This window comes from Homo sapiens, chromosome 14 (genome assembly GCF_000001405.40).
Source record: "Homo sapiens chromosome 14, GRCh38.p14 Primary Assembly".
Classification (NCBI taxonomy): Eukaryota; Metazoa; Chordata; class Mammalia; order Primates; family Hominidae; genus Homo; species Homo sapiens.
Window position 1 is genome coordinate 18,584,729 of NC_000014.9, and position 21,608 is coordinate 18,606,336.

At 41.5% G+C, this 21,608-nt stretch overlaps 1 protein-coding gene across 1 annotated transcript; it reads left to right on the forward strand.

Moving 5' to 3' along the window:
* Positions 1 to 16,388: 16,388 nt before the first annotated feature.
* OR11H12 (olfactory receptor family 11 subfamily H member 12) lies at positions 16,389 to 17,369 on the forward strand. The gene has a single exon (NM_001013354.1). It carries the CDS (start codon positions 16,389 to 16,391, stop codon positions 17,367 to 17,369), a length of 981 nt encoding a protein of 326 aa, NP_001013372.1.
* The last annotated feature ends 4,239 nt before the right edge of the window (positions 17,370 to 21,608 follow it).

Genomic DNA, 21,608 nt, shown 5'->3' on the forward strand with positions numbered 1-21,608 from the left:
TGAAATGGAGGAGACTGTACCACAGAAGCAGCGGGTTCACTGCTCCATTGATGAAGCAAGTCTGGGACACACATGTAGCTAAGCTGCGACTTCTGTGCCAGCGGTCCCAACACCCACGCCTTCAGGAAGACACATGTGTGGGGGTTGCGTGCTTGTCAGGCCTGAGAGTGGAGAGTGGGGGCCAGAGACACTAGGTAGGGGGAACCCGCCCGAGGGCTCTGAGGGATGACGATGTAGGGAGCTGGTGGCAGAGATTGAGCTGGCCCAATGTTGCAGGGTGGGGACAGAGTCGAGGTCCACCCCGCCTCAGGTGGACAGCTGAACCTGAGTAGACATCAGGCCCCAGATCGACATCTGGCCCCAGGTAGATTCCTAGGCCCAAGGTGAATACTCAGTCTCCAGCCCTAGGGGAATTCAGTCTTAGATGACTAAGGACTGGTGTTCCTCTGGGGCCTCATGTCTACCTGGGCGCTGGGAGTGCACATGGAGCCAGATGTCTATAAAGGGCCTGAGTGTCCACTAGGGCCTGAGGTTCACCAGGAACATAGACACCCACCTAGGACCTCGTGTCCACCTAAAACCTGGTGTTCACCTGGGGTCTGGGTGACAACCTGGGATCTGATGTTCACCTGAGGCCCAGAGTTCAGCTGGTGCCTATGTCAGCCTGGCACCTGATGCACACGAGAGGACTAGGTGCCCACCTGAGGACTGGTGTTCTTGGGGAACTGGTGTTCAGCTGTGGATTGATGACCAACTGGGTCCTGGTGTCCTCCTGGCACCTGATGTCCACCTGGGACTGCATGCTTACCTAGGGTCTGGTGTTCCCCTGGGGCCTGGTGTGCCCCTGAGACCTGGGGTCCACCTGGGCCTAGTATCCACTTGGGGCCTCATATTCATCTGGAACATCATGTCCACTTGAGGCCTTGTAGTTACCTAGGGACTGGGTGTCCTTCTGGCACTTCAGTGTCCTCCTGGGGCCTGGGGTTCTCCTGGGGCCTGGGTTTACATCTCTGGCCTGATGTCCACCTTGGGATGGATGTCCACCTGGGGACAGATGTTCATTTGTGGCCTGAGTGTCCATCTCGTGTCTAATGTCTACCTGGGGCCTGGTGTTTGCCTGAGGCCTTATATCCACCTGGGGCCTGGGCATCCATTTGAGGCCTGATGTCTAACTAAGACCCGGTGTTTAATTGGGGCACAGACTTCTTCCTGGAGCCCAATGTTCACCTGGAGCCTGAAGTTCACCTATGCCTGTTGTCTACCTGAGGCCTATGTGTCAGCCTAGCGCCTGAAGACCACCCTGAGTTCAGTGTTCACCTGGGGACTGACATCTGCCTGGAGTCCTGGTGTCCACATAGGGCCTGGTATTGGCTTGGGACCAAAGTATTTACCTAGGGCCTGGGTGTCTACTTAGAGCCTGACTTCTACATGGTTCATTGTGTCAACCTGAGACCTGATGTCCACTTAGGGTCTAGGTAAGCTCCTTATGATTAAAGCCCACATGGGGGCTGAAACCATCTCACACCTTGTGTTAACCTAGGGCTTAGTGTCCACCTGAGGCCGGCCTGGGACCTGGTGACTCCCTGGGGTCAAGGTATCCACCTTGGGCCTGATGACCAGTTGGGGCTTAAGGATCTACCTAGAGACTGGTGTCAACCTGGAACCTGATGTCCACTTGGGTTCTGGTGTACACCTTGGGCCTGATGCCCACCTGGGCATGGGTGTACACTTTGGGCCTAGTGTGCACTGAAGCCTGGGTGTCAACCTGGGTCTTGATGCACACTTTTAGTCAAGTGTTTAACAGGGGCCTGATGAAATACTAGAGCCTGATTTACACCTGTGTACTGGGTCTCCACCTGGGGCCTGATGTCCACCTGCAGCCAGATATCCACCTGGCACCAGATGTCTACCAGGAATCTGGGTGTCCACCTTGAAAATGATGTATTCCAAGAGACTAGGCATGCACATTGGGCCTGGGGTCCACCTGGGTCCTGATGTCTACCTAAGGCTGGTATTGAACTGGGGCCTGTGTGTTCACTTGGAGCCTGATGTTCATTTGGAACCTGGTGTTCACCTAGGACATGGGTATCCACCTGGATCCTGATTTTCAGGTGGGGAGTGGATATAGACCTGGGACCTGATGGCCACCTATGCTATAAGTAACCCAACCACCTGAGGCCTGATATTCACCTGCGGCCTGATGTCCACCTGGTACCTGTGTGTCAATCTAGTGCCTGGTGTCCACTTGAGGACTAGGTAGACACCTGGGGCTTGGTGTCCACCAGAGACCTGGTGTTCATCTTGCAACCAGTGTCCACCTGGACCCTGTGTATCAACCTGTGGCCTAGGTGGCCACTTGGAGCTTTATGTGCACCTGGGTCCTGAGAGTTTCCTAGGATCTGATGACCACTGGGGCCCAGCGATCCACCTGGGACATCAGGCTCCAAGTGTACGCCCAGGCTCCATATGGACACCAGGCCAGGAGAATGCCAGCCCTTATCTGAACATCAGGTCCTAGATGGATGCCCAGGTCCCATATGTACATCAGGCCCCAGGTATACACTGGACTCCAGGTGGACACCAGCACTCAGTTGGATACACACACTCAAGGTGGACACCAGGCCCCACGTGAATTCCTACACTCCAGGTGAACATCAGGTCCCAAGTGGATACCTGGACCCCAGATGGATACCAGTCTCTAAATTAATACCAGGCCTCAGATGGTCCTTAGGAGCCATGTGGGCATTAGTCATCAGGAAGTTACCTAGGCCCAAAGTGGACATCAGGCCCCATGTTGACACAAGATCCAGTTGGAAGTCAGGCCCCAGGTGGACACCCAGGCCCTAGGTAAATACTTAGGTCCCAAGTTGACAGCAGGCCCTATGTGAACACTCAGAACTCAGGTGGACATGAGGCCTCAGGTGGACATCTGAGTTCATCTGGAACCTCATGTTACAGGCCCCATGTAAACACCGGGCCTTAGGTGGATACCCAATCTCTAGGTGGACATCAGAGCTCAGATTGACACAAAGACGCCAGTAGACATAATGTACTAATGAATATCCAGGCCCCTGGTAAATACCCAGGCCCCAGATTGACACCAGGGTCTATGTGGACACACAGGCCCCAGTTAGAAAACAGGCCCAAGGGAGACACTGGACTGGACATCAGGTCCCAGGCTGACAACCATGCTTCAAGTTGACACCAGGCCCCAAGTGAACATCTGGCCCCAGCTGAACACTAGTCCCCTGGTGAATACCTAGGCCCAAGGTTGAAATCAGGCCCCATGTGAACACTAGACCCCAGATAAACACTTATACCCTAAGTGGGCATCAAGCCTCAGGTGGTTACCTGTTCCCAAGGTGAACATCAGGACCCTGATGGGCACCAGTTATCAAGTGGATTCCTAGGCCCCAGGTGAATATCAAGCCCTAGGTGGATACCAGGCCCCAGGTGGATACCAGGATCCTGGTAGACATCAGGTCCCAAGAGGACCCTAGAACCCAGGAATACATTAGGCCACATTAACACGAAGGCCCCAGATGAATACCAGGCCAATTGTGGACATCAGGCCTGAGAAGGGTCCTCAGGCTCCAGGTGGACATCAGGCGCCAGGTGAACATCCAGCACTCAGATGAACATTAAGCTTCAGGTGGACATCATGCCTCAGGTGAACTCCAGGCCCCAGCTAAACATCAGGCCCCAGGTGGATGCCCAGGTTCCGGGTGCACATCTGGCCACAGTTGGACATTCGACCCTAGGTGACCATCAGGCCATAGGTGAATACACGGTTTCCAGGTGGACATCAGATCAAAGGTAAACATCAGTCCCCCAGTGGACATCAGGCCCAAGATGGACACTGAACTAGAGGTTTACATCAGGCCACACATTGACACCTGGTCCCAGGTGGACATCAGGCCCCAGGTGGATACCTAGGCTTCCAGTGAATTTGACACCAGGTTGACATTCAGGCCCCCAGTGGTCATCTGGCCTCATGTGAACACTCAGACCCCAGGTGCACATGATGTCTCAACTGGACACCAAACCCCTAGTTTGATACCCAAGGCCCAGGTGGACACCAGGTCCAAGGCTGACACTCAAGCCCTAAATGAATACCAAATTCTAGGTGAATAATTCAACCCAGGTGTTCATTAGGACCCAGCTGGATACCAGTCCCCAGGTTAACACAAGGCCCCCGGTGGGCACCTAGGCACCAGCTGGACATCAGGCCCTATGTAAACACCCGGGTCTCCGGTGAAAAACATGTCCCAGGTGGACATCAGGCACTACGTGGACACGGGTCCACAGGTGGACATCTAGCCACTGGGCGACATCCAGCCCCAGGCGGTCATAACCATTTCCATGGATAAACCATTCCCAGGTGGATATCAGGCCTCAGGAGGATGGCAGTCACCAGGTAGCCATCAGGCCTCAGATAGACGCCAAGGTCCCAGATGTACAGCAGGCACCAACTGAACCCCAGACTCATGTGGACATCAGGCCACAGGTAGACACCAAGCCTTAGGTAGATACCTAACTTCAGGTGGACATCAGACCCCAGGTGGACACCCAGTCCCCGGGTGGACAATCAGGCCCCAGGCACACATCAGGCCTTAAGTGGACACCCAGGCCCCAAGTTGATATCCAGCTCCCAGGTGATCACCAAGCCCCAGGTAGACACCAGGCCAAAGCTGAGCAACAGGATGCAGTAGATCATCAGGCCACAGCTGGATACCAGTCCCCGGTGAACACAAGGCCCCAGTGGGACACAGATCTAAGGCAGACATCAGGCCCCAGGTGGACATACAGGCCTGAGGTGGAATTCACCCTGAGGGGGACATTCGGCCCCAGGTGCGCATCAGGCCTCAGGTGAATAACCAGTCCCCAGGTGGACATTAGCCTGCAGGTCAACCACAGTCCCCAGGTTGATACCTGATCTCCAAGTGGCTACCCAATCTGCAGGGTAACATTAGGCCCCTGTAGGATCCCAGGCTGCAAGTGGATTCCTAGGCCTCTGGTGAACATCAGGTGCAGGTGTCCAAGCAGGTCCTGGGTGGACATAACTGTGTACAGGTAAGGAGTTGACCTGTGGGGAGGGTGAGCAGTCAGCAGCCCACTGGGGTCCTGAGAAAGTTTTCTGGAAGGAGGAGGCCGAGGGGATGGAAACTTAAAGAAGCGACCTCACTTCCTTGGCAACAGACCCTAACAGAACTAAGAATTCTGGTAACCAGGCCAGGCACGTTGGCTCACACCTGTAATCCCAGCACTTTGGGAGGCTGAGGCAGGAGGATCATGAAATCAGAAGATCGAGACCAGCCTGACCAACATGGTAAAACCACATGTCTACTAAAAATACAAAAAACAAACAAGGTCAGCAAATCGAGTCCATCCTGGCTAACACAGTGAAACCCCGTCTCTACTAAAAATACAAAAATTATCTGGGCATAGTGGTGGGTGCCAGTAGTCCCAGCTACTCAGGAGGCTGAGGCAGGAGAATGGCATGAACTCAGGACCCAGAGCTTGCAGTGAGCCAAGATCTCGCCACTGCACTCTATCCAGCCTGGGGGACAGAGCGAGACTCTGTCTCAAAAAAACAAACAAACAAACAAACAAACAAACACAAAAAAACTAGCCAGGTGTCGTGGTGTGTGTCTCATGCCTGTAATCCCAGCTACTCAGGAGACGGAGGCAGGAGAAGTGATTGAACCCAGTAGGCGGATGTTGCACTGAGCCGAGATCATGCCACTGCACTCCAGCCTGGCCAACAGAATGAGACTATGTCTCAAAAAAAAAAAAAAAAAGAAAAGAATTCCAATAACCAGGCACCCACATCCTAGAGTTAGCCCCGTAGCCAGCTCACTTGGTGGGAGACACTCAAGAGAGCAAGATGTTGTGCTGCATCCCCACATCTCCAGGCTCTGGCTTCAGGAATGGCAGAAGTGAGAGCCTTTCTTTGCTGATGATGCCCTCGTAGGCTCATCCCTCACCCCAGATGCCTCTGGCCATTTGGCAGAAGCCCCCCCCCCCAGGTACCACAGGACAGGAGTCACCAGGTAGACATCAGGCCCCAGATAGACACCAAGGTCCCAGATGTACAGCAGGCACCAACTGAACCCCAGACTCATGTGGACATCAGGCCACAGGTAGACACCAAGCCTTAGGTAGATACCTAACTTCAGGTAGACATCAGACCCCAGGTGGACACCCAGTCCCCAGGTGGACAATCAGGCCCCAGGCACACATCAGGCCTTAAGTGGACACCCAGGCCCCAAGTTGATATCTGGCTCCCAGGTGATCACCAAGCCCCAGGTAGACACCAGGCCATAGGTGAGCAACAGGATGCAGTAGATCATCAGGCCACAGCTGGATACCAGTCCCCAGTGAACACAAGGCCCCAGTGGGACACAGATCTAAGGCAGACATCAAGCCCCAGGTGGACGTACAGGCCTGAGGTGGAATTCACCCTGAGGGGGACATTCGGCCCCAGGTGCGCATCAGGCCTCAGGTGAATAACCAGTCTATATATATATATATATTATATATATATCTATTTATATTGTGTTGGATATATATATCTATATCTATATATCTATATATCTATATATATATGTATATCTATATATATCTATATTTATCTATATATATTGTGTTGGATAAATCCAACAGCACATTAAAAATTTAATTCACCATGATCAATTGAGTTTTATTCTAGAAATGCTAGGATGATTCAACATATGCAAATCAATAAATGTGATTCATCACATAAAGTTAAAAACAAAAACCACAGGATCATTTCAATTGATGTTGAAAAGACAATCATAAAATAGGAGAAAATATTTGTAAACTATCCATCTGACAAGGGATTAACAACTAGAATATATAAGGAGCTCAAACAACTCTATAGAAAAAATCTGATCATCCAATTTAAAAATGGGCAAAAGATCTTGCTCAAAAGAAGACATATAAATGGCAAACAGGCATGTGAAAAAGTGCTCAACATCATTGCTCATCAGAGAAATGCAAACCAAAACTACAAGACGAATCATCTAACCCTAGTTAAGATGGCTTATATCCAAAAGACAGGCAGTAAGAAATACTGGCTAGGATGTGGAGAAAAGGGAACCCACTATTGGTGGGAATGTAAATTAGTACAATTACTATGGAGAACAGTTTGGAGGTTTCTCAAAAAAAAAACAAAAACAAAAATAGAGCTACCATATGACCCAGCAATGCCATTGGTAGGTATATATAAGAAAGAAAGGAAATCAGGATATCTGAGAGATACCTGCACTCCCATGCATATTGCAGCACTATTCACAATAGCCATGATTTGGAAGCAACCTGTGTGTCCATGAACAGATGAATAAATAAAGAAAATGTGGTTAATATACACAATAGAGTAATATACAGCCATGAAAAAGAATGAGATCCTGTTATCTGCAACAGCATGGATAGAACTGGAGGTTATTATGTTAAATAAAATAAGCCAGGGACAGAAAGACAAATTTTCCATGTTCTCACTTATTTGTGGGAGCTAAAACTTAAAATAACTGGATTTATGGAGATAGAGAATAGAGTAATGGTTACCAGAGATGGAAGAATAGTAGGGTTAAGGGGAAGAATGAATAATCGGCATAAAAATACAGTTAGATAGAATAAGTAAGATCTAGTATTTGATAGAACAACAAGGTGACTATAGCCAAACATAATTTATAGTACATTTAAAAATAACTAAAAGAGCATAATTGCATTGTTTGTAACACAAAGAAAGGGTAAATGTTTGAAGTGATGGATACCCCATTTACCGTGATGTAATTATTATACATCGTATGCCCGTAGAAAAATATCTCATGTACCCCATAAACATATACAGTCAGTGTGTACCCATAAAAATTTAAAAAGGAAAAGATAAAATAAACAACCTGATATTACAACTCTAGTAACTAATAAAAAAAGAACAAACTAAACCCAAAGTCAGCAGAAGGAAAGAAATAACAAGGATCTGAATAGAAATAAACAGAATAGAGACTAAAACTACAATAGAAAAGAACCCAATGTAATAAAGAGTATTTTTTTCAGAAGGATAAACAAATCAACAAGCCTTTAGCCAGACCAAGGAAAAAGGAGAAAGGACTCAAATATTAATACAATCAAAAGTGAAAAGGGAGACATTACAACTGATACCACAGAAATATAAAAGCTCATAAGAAAAAAAGCTCATAAGAGAGTACTATGAAAAATTGTACAGTAACAAATTGAATAAAGCAGATGAAATAAATAAATTCCAAGATACATGCAAGATACCAATACTGAATCATGAAGAAAAAGTAAGTACGAACAGACCAAAAATGAATAAGATTGAATTGTAATAAAGTCTCCCATCAAAGAGAAGCCCAAAATAGCTTTACTGTTGTATTCTACCAAACATTTAAATAATTAGCAATCCTCAAACTCTTCCAAAAAAAATCTAAGAGGAAGGAATACTTCACTTCCAAACTTTTTTTACATGGCCAACATTACTCTGATACCAAAGTCAGCCAAGAACAAGAAAAAGAAAAGAAAAGAAAAATTACAGGCCAATATCCCTGATGAACATAGATGCAAGAATCCTCAATCAAATACTAGCACACTGAATTCAACAGCACATTAAAAAGATAACTTACCATGCTCAAGTGGATTTACCCCAAGGATACAAGGTGGATCAACATACATAAATCTATAAATGTGATATACAACATTAACAAAATGAAGCCCCAAAATTATATAATCATCTAATTAGATGCAGAAATGGCATTTGAAAAATTCAACATTGTTTCATGAAAAGATTCTCAACAGAGTTGGTTTAGAAGAAATATACTTCAACACAATAAAGACCATGTATTACAAGCCTACAGCTCACATTATACTCAATGTACCCTCCAAATCCCAGGCTGAATTGTGATCCCCAGTGTCAGAGGGGGTGCCTGGTGGGAGGTGTCTGTGTTATGGAGGTGAATCCCTCATGGGATGGTGATGGTATCCAACCCAACCCTCAGGAATGGGTTTGCATTTTACCCGTAGTAGAGTTACCATCAGATCTGTTGGTTAAAAAGAGTGTGGGACAACCCCCTCCCCACCTTTCTCCCTCTCTTGCCATGTGACACACCTGCTCCCCCTTTGCTTTCTTCAATGAGTAAAAGCTTCCTTAGGCTTCAGAAGCTAAGAAGATGCTGATGCCACGCTTGTACTGACTGCAGGACCATGAGCCAAATAAACCTCTTTTCTTTATAAATTACTCAGTCTCAGGTATTCCTTTATAGCAATGTAAAATGGACTAAAACAAATGTTATTGGTGATTTATGCAATGGCCATTTTAAAGGTGTGGTGGGGGGAAGCCATATTTAAATATATTAGAGGTGAGAAAGACATGAGGAAAAGATGAAGATTCCTTACGGTCTCTCAAGTATGGCAGTCACGCTCCTGCCTTGTGGCCCGTATACATGCCATCTCCTCTGCCTGGAATGCTCTTTTCCCAGATATTTATGTTTCTTTCCCCCACACTCCCTTCAAATCTTTGACCAAATATCACCTTTTCAGTGAGGCCTTTCCTGACTAGCTATTGAAAATTCCACCCAGGGGAATTGAGAGATATCGGTCAAAAGGTACAATGTTTCAGCTAAACAGGATGAATAAGTTTTGGAGATCTACTGTACAACATAGTGACTGTAGTTAATAGTCATGTGTTATACCATTGTCCCTAAATATCTGCAATATCTGGGGGGTGATTTGTTCCAGGACTCCCCAAGGACACCGAAATCCTGGGATGTTCAAGTCCCTTATATAAAATGATGTAATTTTATATTTGCATGTAATCTATGCATATTCTTCCATACACTTTAAATCATCTATAGATTACTTATAATACTAATAAAATATAAATGTTTTATAAATAGTTGTTATAACGTATTTTTTTTATTTTTACTGCTTTTATTGTATTTTTTGTGGGTTTTTTGTCCTAATAGTTTCTATCCAGTTGGTTGGATGCCTGAATGTGGAACTCATGGAAACATAGGGCCAAAAGTATACTTGAAGTTTTTAGAAGAGATTTTAAATGTTCTCATACAATAAAATGAAAGTATGTGGAAGTGATAAATATGTTAGTTTGAATTAATCGTTTCACCATGTATACATACCAAAAAATCATCTTGTATGCCACAAATACATACAGTTTTTAAAATATAAAATAAAAAATATTCAATCACCTATTATAAAGCAAGCACATATTGAACAAGTGCCAAGTTAATCTCATATACTGGATAATGATTCCATGGAAAGTAGCCTTGCTTAATTGGGAAAAGACCCAAGTGACAGAGTAGCTCCCTATGGAAAATTGTAACTGGTTTAAGTGACAGCTTAAACTCCAGAATGTCTCACCAAACAGTCAAATATATCTCTGCTCATAAGTATATTTCTCAATGAATTGTTATCAACTGATACTCCTGTGTAAAGGTACCTAGTTCAAGAAACTGAATATTATCAGCATCCCAAAATCCCAACCTTTTCATTGAGGCTTTCCCTAACTACCTATTGAAAATTGCGCCCAGGGGATATGGGGAGACGTTTGTCAAAGGGTACAATGTTTCAGCTAAAAAGGATGAATAAGTTCTGGATATCTACTGTACACCATTAACCTTAAGAGAGATCTCAAAAAGGAAAAGAACTCACACACAAAAAAATTGCTGTAAAGGATACACATGAAAGACATAGAAGGGAGGTGGAGGGAATGCAGAGAGCTGTGGGCTGAGTCTGAGCCTCAAGGCTTTTTCAGCATAAAACACCGCAAAGACTGTTGATAAGCAAGCCTGTCCCCCATTTACTAAGCTTAGGCAATTAACTTTATGTGTCAAAATTTTATCAGTACCCAACACTGATTTAAGGACTCAACACTCTGAATTGAGAAAACCTAAAGTACAAAAAGTTACCTCAAAGGTAGGTGAGACTCTCTAACAGCTCAAATATATGTCTTCAATGTGTTCTAATTGCAAATTACTTACAATTTGGCACAACATATTGGGAGAGAGGAGTAGTGGAATGGTAAAAATCAAACCTAACTTCAAAATATTGTAAATTATGGTTCTAAGATCAATCTTAATGACCCAATATGTGCAATGAGGCTCTTCTCTTCCTCCTCCATGTTACAGATGGGAACACGAAAGACTAAGCCATTCACATTACCCTAGGGAAGGCAGAGGGAAAGGGCAGTCCAGGTGTCCTGAACTGTACTGCTCACAGGGGAGGCCTGGCCCACCACTAAGTCTGGATACTTCCAAACCTATCCTTACATGAAAACAATATCTGGGGACCATTTCATTCTAATTGGTTTCGGGTCCTAGTTTCTGCCCAGTGGTCAAATCCAGAAACCCAGTCAGGACCTAGTTTCAATGAGTGGCTCTGAGCTTAGCTAATTAATGGCTTCCTGGCCCAAGAAAGCCTTCCTGTTTTTGTTTGTTTAATTAATTGTTTGCTATTGCGCTAAAATACTTTGTCTTACCTGACAATGAGTGAGCTCAGGATTATCTTGGCACATTTGGTTATGTGGTTTGAGCCCTCCCAGAGTGTTAATTGTCTACCAGCTACCCATTAAAGTTTAATACGGCAGAAGACAATGAGCTTACTAGAGATGTCACAGAGCCTTTGTTGCCATGGCAATAATTGTTGGACCAGATCACAGAGAAGGAAGTAAGAGACAAGAAAGAGAAAGGTGCAGGAAAAGCTGAAGCATAATAGTTTTTTAAAATACTCTCTAAACTTATAATGGAGTAATGTGTTTAAATTTGTGGGGGAAACCACTTTATGAGAAAGGCTGATTTTCCAACATCCTCTTAAAGAGATATGGTTTTGGTTTTATGGAAGAATGGTTTCTAAGCTACATTTCATCTTTTTTTTTTTTTTTTTTTTTTTTTTAGACGGAGTCTCGCACTGTCACCCAGGCTGGAGTGCAGTGGTGCGACTTCGGCTCACTGCAACTTCCGCCTCCCAGGTTCAAATGATTCTCCTTGCCTCAGCATCCCAAGTAGCTGGGATTACAGGCACCCGCCACCATGCCTGGCTAGTTTGTTTTGTATTTTTAGTAGAGACCAGGTTTCCCTATGTTGGCCAGGCTGGTCTCGAACTCCTGACCTCATGATCCGCCCGCCTCAGCCTCCCAAAGTGCTGGGATTACAGGTGTGAGCCACCATGCTCGGCCTACATTTCATCTTAAAATAAAAGTAAACGAATTGGGATTAATTTGGAAGCACACTGACTACTATAATACCAAGAAGTTCATACGAAGGCAGATAGATAGCCATTAAAATGGCAGAAATTCAACAAAATTTTTAATAGATGATTGTGTCAGTGAGAAATAGTTTTGATGTGCAGTATGAAACCTCAAATATTCCAGGGGCTCCTGCAAAGTGTAAACTTGTAGTATCCTTGACTTAGAACTGAAAGAACAGCAGGATTGGAGGTGGGTGAAAGAAAGAACCTAGTGATCTAGGTAATGTCACTTTGGATAACATTTGCTCTAAATTGCTCCCAGCATCAGTGAGTAGAGCTTGGGAGGAGTGAGTGTGTATTTCAAAGCCCAGGGCTTCAGTCAGTGTGAATGAGACAATGAGGATTATCCTGCCCTCTTGTGCTTCTGAGCCAAGGTGCCAGGGCTTAAAGAGGAGAGGAAGGAAATGAAGAAGTCACAGAGTGCCTGATTGAAGAAGCAAAGTGCAGAAACACATCCTCCTCCCGCCTCCCTGTAGAAGTCAACCTCCCCCTTGACTGCCCATCACTATCAGCATGGGATGGTGGTATATTTACTTAATTAGCTAAACGTGAATAGAGCTTAAAGTTTAGCCCTTAGGTGGGATTTTGCCGACATAGACTTCCTAGGACTTTTGTCCTATCACAGTGGCCTGTTGCACTGTGAGCTTCTTGTGTCAAAGGTTAATTAATCTTGTCTCTCTAGAGTCTAATGTTCAAATGCATGTTCATTTAACTAGGCTGTTTATTAAGTATACTGATTTAGTGACAAGATTATTTAAGAAAAAAGCCCCAAAGGTAACTTATATTGTTGACCAGAGTAAATTAAAGGTGTAAACATTTAATAACACCTAGAAGCCATATTCAGAATAAGTATAATTTTTACTAGTTATTCTAATCTTTTGAAAGAAACATCACAGTTAGAAATGAAAAAGACCATATTACCACTGACCCCACAGAAATAAAAAATAACCATCAGAAACTACTACAAACACCTCTATGCACACAAACTTGAAAACCTGTAAGAGATGGGTAACTTCCTGAACACACCAATAACGTGCTCCAAAATTGCATCTGTAATAAATAGCCTACCAACCAAAAAATATATATATTTTAAAAAGCTCAAGACTAGATGGATTCACAGCCAAATTCTACCAGATATGCAAAGAAGAGCCAGTACCATTTTTGCTGAAATGATTCCAAAAAAACTGAGGAGGAGGGACCCCTGTCCAACTCATTCTATGAGGCCAGCATCATCCTGATACCAAAACCTGGTAGAGACACAACAACAACAAAAAAAACTTCAAGCCAATATCATGGATGAATACTGATATAAGGCAGCTTGTGATTAGTATCATGACAAAGACACAAAGATGGTAAAATAAAAATGCAAGGATGGGGCTGGGTGCAGTGGCTCACGCCTGTAATCCCAGCACTTCAGGAGGCCAAGGCAGGTGGATGACAAGGTCAAGAGATAGAGACCATCCTAGTCAACACGGTGAAACCCCGTTTGTACTAAAAATACAAAAATTAGCTGGGTGTGGTGGCGCATGCCTGCATTCCCAGCTACTCAGGAGGCTGAAGCAGAAGAATTGTTTGAACCTGGGAGGCAGAGGTTGCAGTGAGCTGAGATCATGACACTGCATTCAGCCTGGGGACAGAGCGAGATTCTGTCTCAAAAAAAAAAAAAAAAAAAAAAAAACCAAACAACAATGGAAAATGTGCTTTGGTTAGGGGAAGAGAGGAAAACATTTTGGGAAAAAAAAATGTCTTTTGAACTGGACCTTGAAGGAGGGTTTGTACAGATGTAGATGGAGATAAATAGAATTCCAAATACAGAAAATGATCACAAAGAAGAGAACATAAGAAACTGAAGCTATTCAGAGAATGAAATGCTGTCTACTGTCTAATTTATCTGCAAAAGAGAGTAGGGAAAAATAACACCAAGAAAGTCATTTGAAGTCAATTTGTGGAGAACTTGGGAACTTGAAATCATTGACAGCTTTTGAGCAGACGAGAATATCAAAGCTATGTTTTAGAAGTTTCTAAGTATTATGACTAAGTGATAATAAAGGTCTGAATAAACATTTTCCTCTGTAGTCTCTCAAAGTGGAAGTTTGCTTTTAGACAGATGTCTGTGGTCCTAGGGCATACATCCCTGATATCCTCAACTACTTCACAGCACTTGGTATGAGCATTCACTCACACATGAGTGTTTAGTTACACTATGTTGGCCCCTAAATGTCATAAAGTAAAAATAGAAGAGATACTAATAAATACAAGTAAATACTTCTCTCTATTAATTGGGAAGTCACATGTTCCTCTGAAGTATTTCTGTTAATTAACTTAAATGTTGCTACTTCTTATACTTTCTTCTCATATCTAAAGGATTCTGGCAAAAAAGTGCCATCCTTCTAAAAGTTATTTCTAAATTCTGTAAGTTTTTGTTCAATGTGTGACAATGTTGGAACCTCAGTATTTTCCTCACTGGGCTGTATATCCTCCAATATATGCACAGTAACACTTGAAATGTTCCTAAACATTATGTCAAAAGTTTTGGTAACATTTTGTATCTTATTTCTCCTCAGACTGTGTCTTCCAGAAGATTTTCTGGAATCCGTCTGGTGGGCAAGCTCTTTGTAAATAATGATGCCTTAGAATAGTTGTCATTACTCTTTACTGATTCTTCAGAGAATATGTAATCATTAACTTTTTAAAGATTCATCTTGGAAGATAACTTTCCTAATGCTATAGAGGCTACATCCCAGGAGAATGTGAGTTTCATAAAGTGCATTTTTAATTTTGGGGCCGGCCACAATAAAACTCTGTCTAGCTGAAGACATAATATGATTTATAAAATAAATCATTTAGAGATTTGGTTCCTGTCAAAACGATGATGGCTTCACCTTTTGAGCACTGCTGAGAATCATGACACTCCTGTGTCAATCCCTTTTCATTCCATAATTTCTTAATGTTGGTTTATTAATGATTCTGGTTGGAAGCCTATTAAAGAGACATATATTACTAAAAGAAGCACAAACATAACTTCTAACTAGTCATACCAAAAGACTTCCCAGAGCACTGGTGTAGAGAGCAAGTTGGAAGAAAAACTTTTGAAAATTTGTGTTTCTGCTCAAAATGTCCTCTTGACATCTAGGACTCACATCCCTCCATATTTCTGAGGAAAAGAAAAGTTTTTTTCCAGGTAACGCAAATCCCTAATATATTTTTATAAGAATGTAGGAAGAAGGAAGTTTACCTATAACAAAATAAGTGTTTGATTTCTGTCATCTGGTAAAAATTTTCAATTTTAAAAAAAAGCATATAAGGAACATCAATCTCAAAATTTTATGAAATGCCTTCAAAAGTAAAGTTTAATGTCTAGATCTTTGCAAACTTTTGTACATAATGACTAAATCAATATTATATTGATTTTATCAATATAATAATCACTATATCAGTTTATGAAATTAAGGTAAAAGATTAATCAGAAGCTTAAAGCCTTTGCTTTCTACAGAAAACATTGCAGCTTTACAATATTAATATTAAAAATCAATATTGGTGAGTAACATTAGATAATCACTTAAGCTAACAACAGCAGCAAAAGAAATTCAGAGATAATGGCTTTAACGTGATTGCTACCAATTTATTTTAAAATATGTGCATTTCTTTTGCATATGTAAATAATGTTAAGTAATATGTTTAGCTGAAATGTAAATGGTCAAAACTTTCTTTACTGAGTCTATTGCACCATAAGTTGGGTTTGCAGTAAGAAACTAACACATTTGTGCCTTCTCAAAGTACTAACTTTGAGTTGTATGCTATCCAGAAACTATATTCAATCATTTCTGTCTCAAAATAATGACCTTACAAAAGGAATTTAACTTTACCTAGTTCTATCACGATTGCATATTAAGGAGAGATTTAGAAGATGGCAGAAGTTTGTTTTTGTTCAATCAGCTACCTACGAAGCCCAAAACTCATATACTGTATAGCCGAGAAAAAGTAAACTACATTCTCTTCCTAATTATTCTTTTGAAAAATGACTTCATGTTCATTATCTTCTCTTCATTCTTAAAAAAGGAACACATTTTATAAAAGAGTCCTGACTGATAATGTGTCCCTTGACCTTGCAGGTCACTGGCCTAATGAATGTCTCTGAGCCAAATTCCAGCTTTGCTTTTGTAAATGAATTTATACTCCAAGGTTTCACTTGTGAGTGGACAATTCAGATCTTCCTCTTCTCACTCTTTACTACAACATATGCACTGACTATAACAGGGAATGGAGCCATTGCTTTTGTCCTGTGGTGTGACTGGCGACTTCACACTCCCATGTACATGTTCCTGGGAAATTTCTCCTTTTTAGAGATATGGTATGTCTCTTCTACAGTTCCCAAGATGTTGGTCAACTTCCTTTCAGAGAAAAAAAACATCTCCTTTGCTGGATGTTTTCTCCAGTTTTATTTCTTCTTCTCTTTGGGTACATCAGAATGCTTGCTTTTGACTGTGATGGCCTTTGATCAGTACCTTGCTATCTGCCGTCCCTTGCTCTATCCTAATATCATGACTGGGCATCTCTGTGCCAAACTGGTCATACTGTGCTGGGTTTGTGGATTTCTGTGGTTCCTGATCCCCATTGTTCTCATCTCTCAGATGCCCTTCTGTGGCCCAAACATTATTGACCATGTTGTGTGTGACCCAGGGCCACGATTTGCATTGGATTGTGTTTCTGCCCCAAGAATCCAACTGTTTTGCTACACTCTAAGCTCATTAGTTATTTTTGGTAACTTCCTCTTTATTATTGGATCCTATACTCTTGTCCTGAAAGCTGTGTTGGGTATGCCTTCAAGCACTGGGAGACATAAGGCCTTCTCTACCTGTGGGTCTCATTTGGCTGTGGTATCACTGTGCTATAGCTCTCTTATGGTCATGTATGTGAGCCCAGGACTCGGACATTCTACAGGGATGCAGAAAATTGAAACTTTGTTCTATGCTATGGTGACCCCACTCTTCAATCCCCTTATCTATAGCCTCCAGAATAAGGAGATAAAGGCAGCCCTGAGGAAAGTTCTGGGAAGTTCCAACATAATCTAAGGCATATTAGATTATTCCTCCATGATCAGATCAGTACAGTCTAACAAAGAGAAATCAGAATTATATAGTTATTTAAATCTAAAAAATATGGACCTAGTGATATTGACTATATCAGCCTATGAAATTAAACACCTGTTGGACCCCTTACAAATTAAAGTTGCCAAATCATATAGATAAATGGAAGCGTGTGGTTTCCCTTTGGCACCTAGACTGAGTATTAACTGAGGAATACACATATTTGGGTGTTTTCTGGATAGTTTCCATCTGATTCATCTGTGATAAAAATTCTTTATGTTCTATTTTACTTAAATTTATTGTTCTGAGATTGACAAAATTATAGCTATGTTATTTTGTTTGGTTGGTTGTAAATAAAAGAAGAAAAAATATATTTTCTGATTGTGATTCTTATCATATTTGGGTTTATTATTTTGGTGACATGGTCATTACTAATACATAAGCCCTTATAAGCAATTTATCAACATTTTTGTAGGACAATAAAATATTCTAGCCTAATGATATCCAAACATTACCTCCTTCTGGACCCCTAAAGGGCAGATTCTAAATCCATCTATAATAATATCAGTCAAAATATTCAGAAATGCATTGTTCTAAATACCTAATATTTTTACCTAAATAAGATATCACCAACAACATGATAGGTCAATTTACCGAGTTTTAGATAATAGAATATCTCCCCTAAAGATTGGACAGGGCAATGGTGTACTTGTGGATACACTACTTAAGTTCAAAAAATAAAATAAAATCAATGGCAGTTCATTGTCATTTGCTGCTAAAAGAATGTGAAAATAACATGAAGGAAAATTTTTGAAGGAAAAAAGCATGTATAATTCAATTGCTCTAATGTATCTATTTTTGTTAATATGTCTGTTTCATGTGATTTAATGTTAAACTCGCTTCCATTTATAGCAAGTTTTTATAATTATCATTCATAGAAAGCATAATATTTTATTGAACTAACGTGCCATGAATTGTGAATTTTTATGTGGTGAGATGAACATTGTCCTAGACGAAGGGCCTTCCTTCCAAGAAGCTAAGAGCTGACTAGTAAAAGGGAATTTTCAGAAGGGATATTAGGAGAAAAATGAATGCCTCTACTACACAAGAATGACTTCTCACAGAATTTGTACTGCAGCATTCTGGGGTAAGGTTACTGAACACTCCAACATCTTCCTTCCTTCTACCACCAATCTTTTTGTTGAACATTACAGTTATCCCATTTTTTTGTTATAAAATAATATCTCAATAAAATCTTCATAAAGATTTGCCTTGATAATATTTTGCAAACCTAAATTAGGACTCATCATCTAATCTGAAACAGACTGTCCCAGAAAATACAGAATATAAGAATATGATGTGTGTGCAACAATTTTCCTTTCAGATTTTTTGTCTTAGAACAGTTTATCGGGAAAGAGATCATTATTCAGTTCAAAAGGTAAGAATGCATTTGTGAATTGGGGCCCGGACATTCCAGGTAGAACAATTATTTGCTCCTTTCATGTAAGACAGTATCAAGCTTTTACTCAATCTTATTAGAACTCTGCCATATCTCTCACTTGTATAGCCGCTGAGGATCTTTCCTCTTTCTTTACTCCTTTCCAGGGTGCATGACTTTTAAGTTACCTGAGTTCTGATCAGCAAACGGACTCAAAAAGAACAGGTAGTCAAGGCAGGCAATATTTCCACCACAGTTTCAGAACTCCCTACTTTGTATTACTAAGTTAATACATTTGTGCAGCCACTACCTTTGCAAAGGTTTCTTCTTACAACCTCAAATACTATGACTGGTTCACAACCTTTTCCATAGTGCTAAATTATTTGACCAAACACTGCATATATACCATATTTTTTCAAAGCCAAACTGTATCCCAAAGAGAGAGAAGGAGAGAGAAAGAATAGCAATAAAAATACAGTGTTATTTCAGGTTGATATTTAAAAATAATTGTGCTGGTTAATGGTTTCCTTGGGGGAAATGACAATTGAAAGTCGGTATTTTCTACTTTCAAATACAAGTCATGGTGTTTATTAGCTCCCTTTAAATGCTCACTAAGCTGAACAAACTTTGACTCTACCCTCAATTACAACTAATTCCCTCACAAAGGAAAATTTATTTGTACAACCAAACATTATGTACATTCAAGATTACTAGAAAACTTAGGACATAAGGTGCAAGTGCGACAATATTATGAGAAAAGAAAGACTGTGTATTAGTTTAACAGGTTTACATATGCAAATTCACCACACAGGGTTTGTTCTCTTGGCAACATTGAAAATAATAATAATTAACGTTTTAAGGCAACTATTTTGTGTCAGGCAATATTCCAAGTCTTTTCTATGTATTATTTTATTTCCTACTTATGAAACCCAAAGAAATCAGGTCGGTATTATTGTATCTCTAATTTTTGAAGAGTGAAACAGGCAGAAAAGGTAACTTGCCTAGTTGGAGATGGCGTCTGATCTCAGGCAGGCTAACAATGGAGCCCACAGTTTTTACTACTATCGGGGGAAAGGACCAACACTATAGAGTGAAATAGATTGGATCAAATCTAAGTCACTGATTGTGTGAGCTTATGCAAATTATTTGACCTTTCTGCCTAGATTTGTTTAGACTATAAAATATAACTAATGATAATACTTCTGTCAGACAGTGGATTTGATGAATAAATGAGGTAAATCAAGGTAGGATCTTACACATAGTATTTAGGGAATCTATTTCAGTTAATATTATTAATGTCTTTCATTTGTAGAGCTCTTCAGCATTTCCCACTTTTATATAGTTGTTCAGTTCATCCTCACAAATTCTGTCATCACACAGTTAAGGTAGACATTCCCATACTCATTTCACTGATGAGATTCAAAGAAATCAAGTATACTGTCCAAGGTCACCCATAGTAAGTGAAGGAGCAAGTTCTTCTGACTTCAAGTTCAATAAGAATTCTGCTGTACCATACATCCTATTCTGGGAAATGTGGCTAAGTTCTGCGTAGCTAACTTCAGAACTACACGGCCATGTAAGCCAAAGAGCTGGATTTACCCCAGAAATTAATGCTGTAGAGAAGAAATGAGTGCAGTAGAAGAACTAAGGGATTTCTTTCCAGTAGTCTTAAGGTAATAACTACTCAAATTATACAAATATTTAAGTAAAATGTATTTCACGTGCAAAATATGTCACTGAGTGAAAATGGCAGATCATGAAACAATATTATTATATAATCTCACACAAACATGAAGTCATGGGATTATGGGTAATTAAGATTCGTTGTTTCCTCTTTTATGCTAATATCTTTATTTCCTAATTTTTCCATGACAAATATGCATTTTTTGTCCAATTTACAAACGACATGTAGTTAAGAAAAAATGAATGTTTACAAATGGCTGTATAATTTAAAGCAATGCTTTTAGACACACCACTTACCCACGCTTTCCCTCCACTTTGTGTGTAAGGAAAGGATAATGCTACTGTCTTTGGTAAGCTTTTACCACGTCTTTACAGAGCTTCTCAAGTACTTTTCCACGTGGCGTCACTTTGTGGAGAGGAGTTAATTTGGCACCCTTGTCCTTCTATTTCACTCAGAAGCAGCTCTTTCTGCAAAGGAGAGAGTGGTCTTTGGTAGCAAACCCTGGCCTTGTGGTTTTCATTCTAGATTCTTAGAACAACAACAACAACAACAACATCAACAACAACAAAAGACAGAGACAGAGAGAGAGAGAGAATGGAGGAACATGTCATACAATCAAATGAACCTTCCCAAACAAGAGCTTTACCCGGGGACTTCCATCTACACTTGTACACATCTCTCCAGCCAAGCTCCCTACTTACTACCAATACAAGAACCAACTTTAATTAAAAGAGAGTTTGAATTGTTATGTTTTTGATACCTACCTTTTTTTTATTATACTTTGATTTAGGGTATGTGTGCACAAAATGCGGGTGTGTTACATATGTATACATCTGCCATGTTGGGGTGCTGCACCCATTAACTTGTCATTTAGCATTAGGTATATCTCCTAATGCTATCCCTCCCCCCTGCCCCCACCCCACAACAGGCTCTGGCATGTGATGTTCCCCTTCCTGTGTCCATGTGTTCTCATTGTTCAATTCCCACCTATGAGTGAGAACATGCAGTGTTTGGTTTTTTGTCCTTGCGATAGTTTGCTGAGAATGATGGTTTCCAGCTTCATCCATGTCCCTACAAAGGACATGAACTCATTTTTTATGGC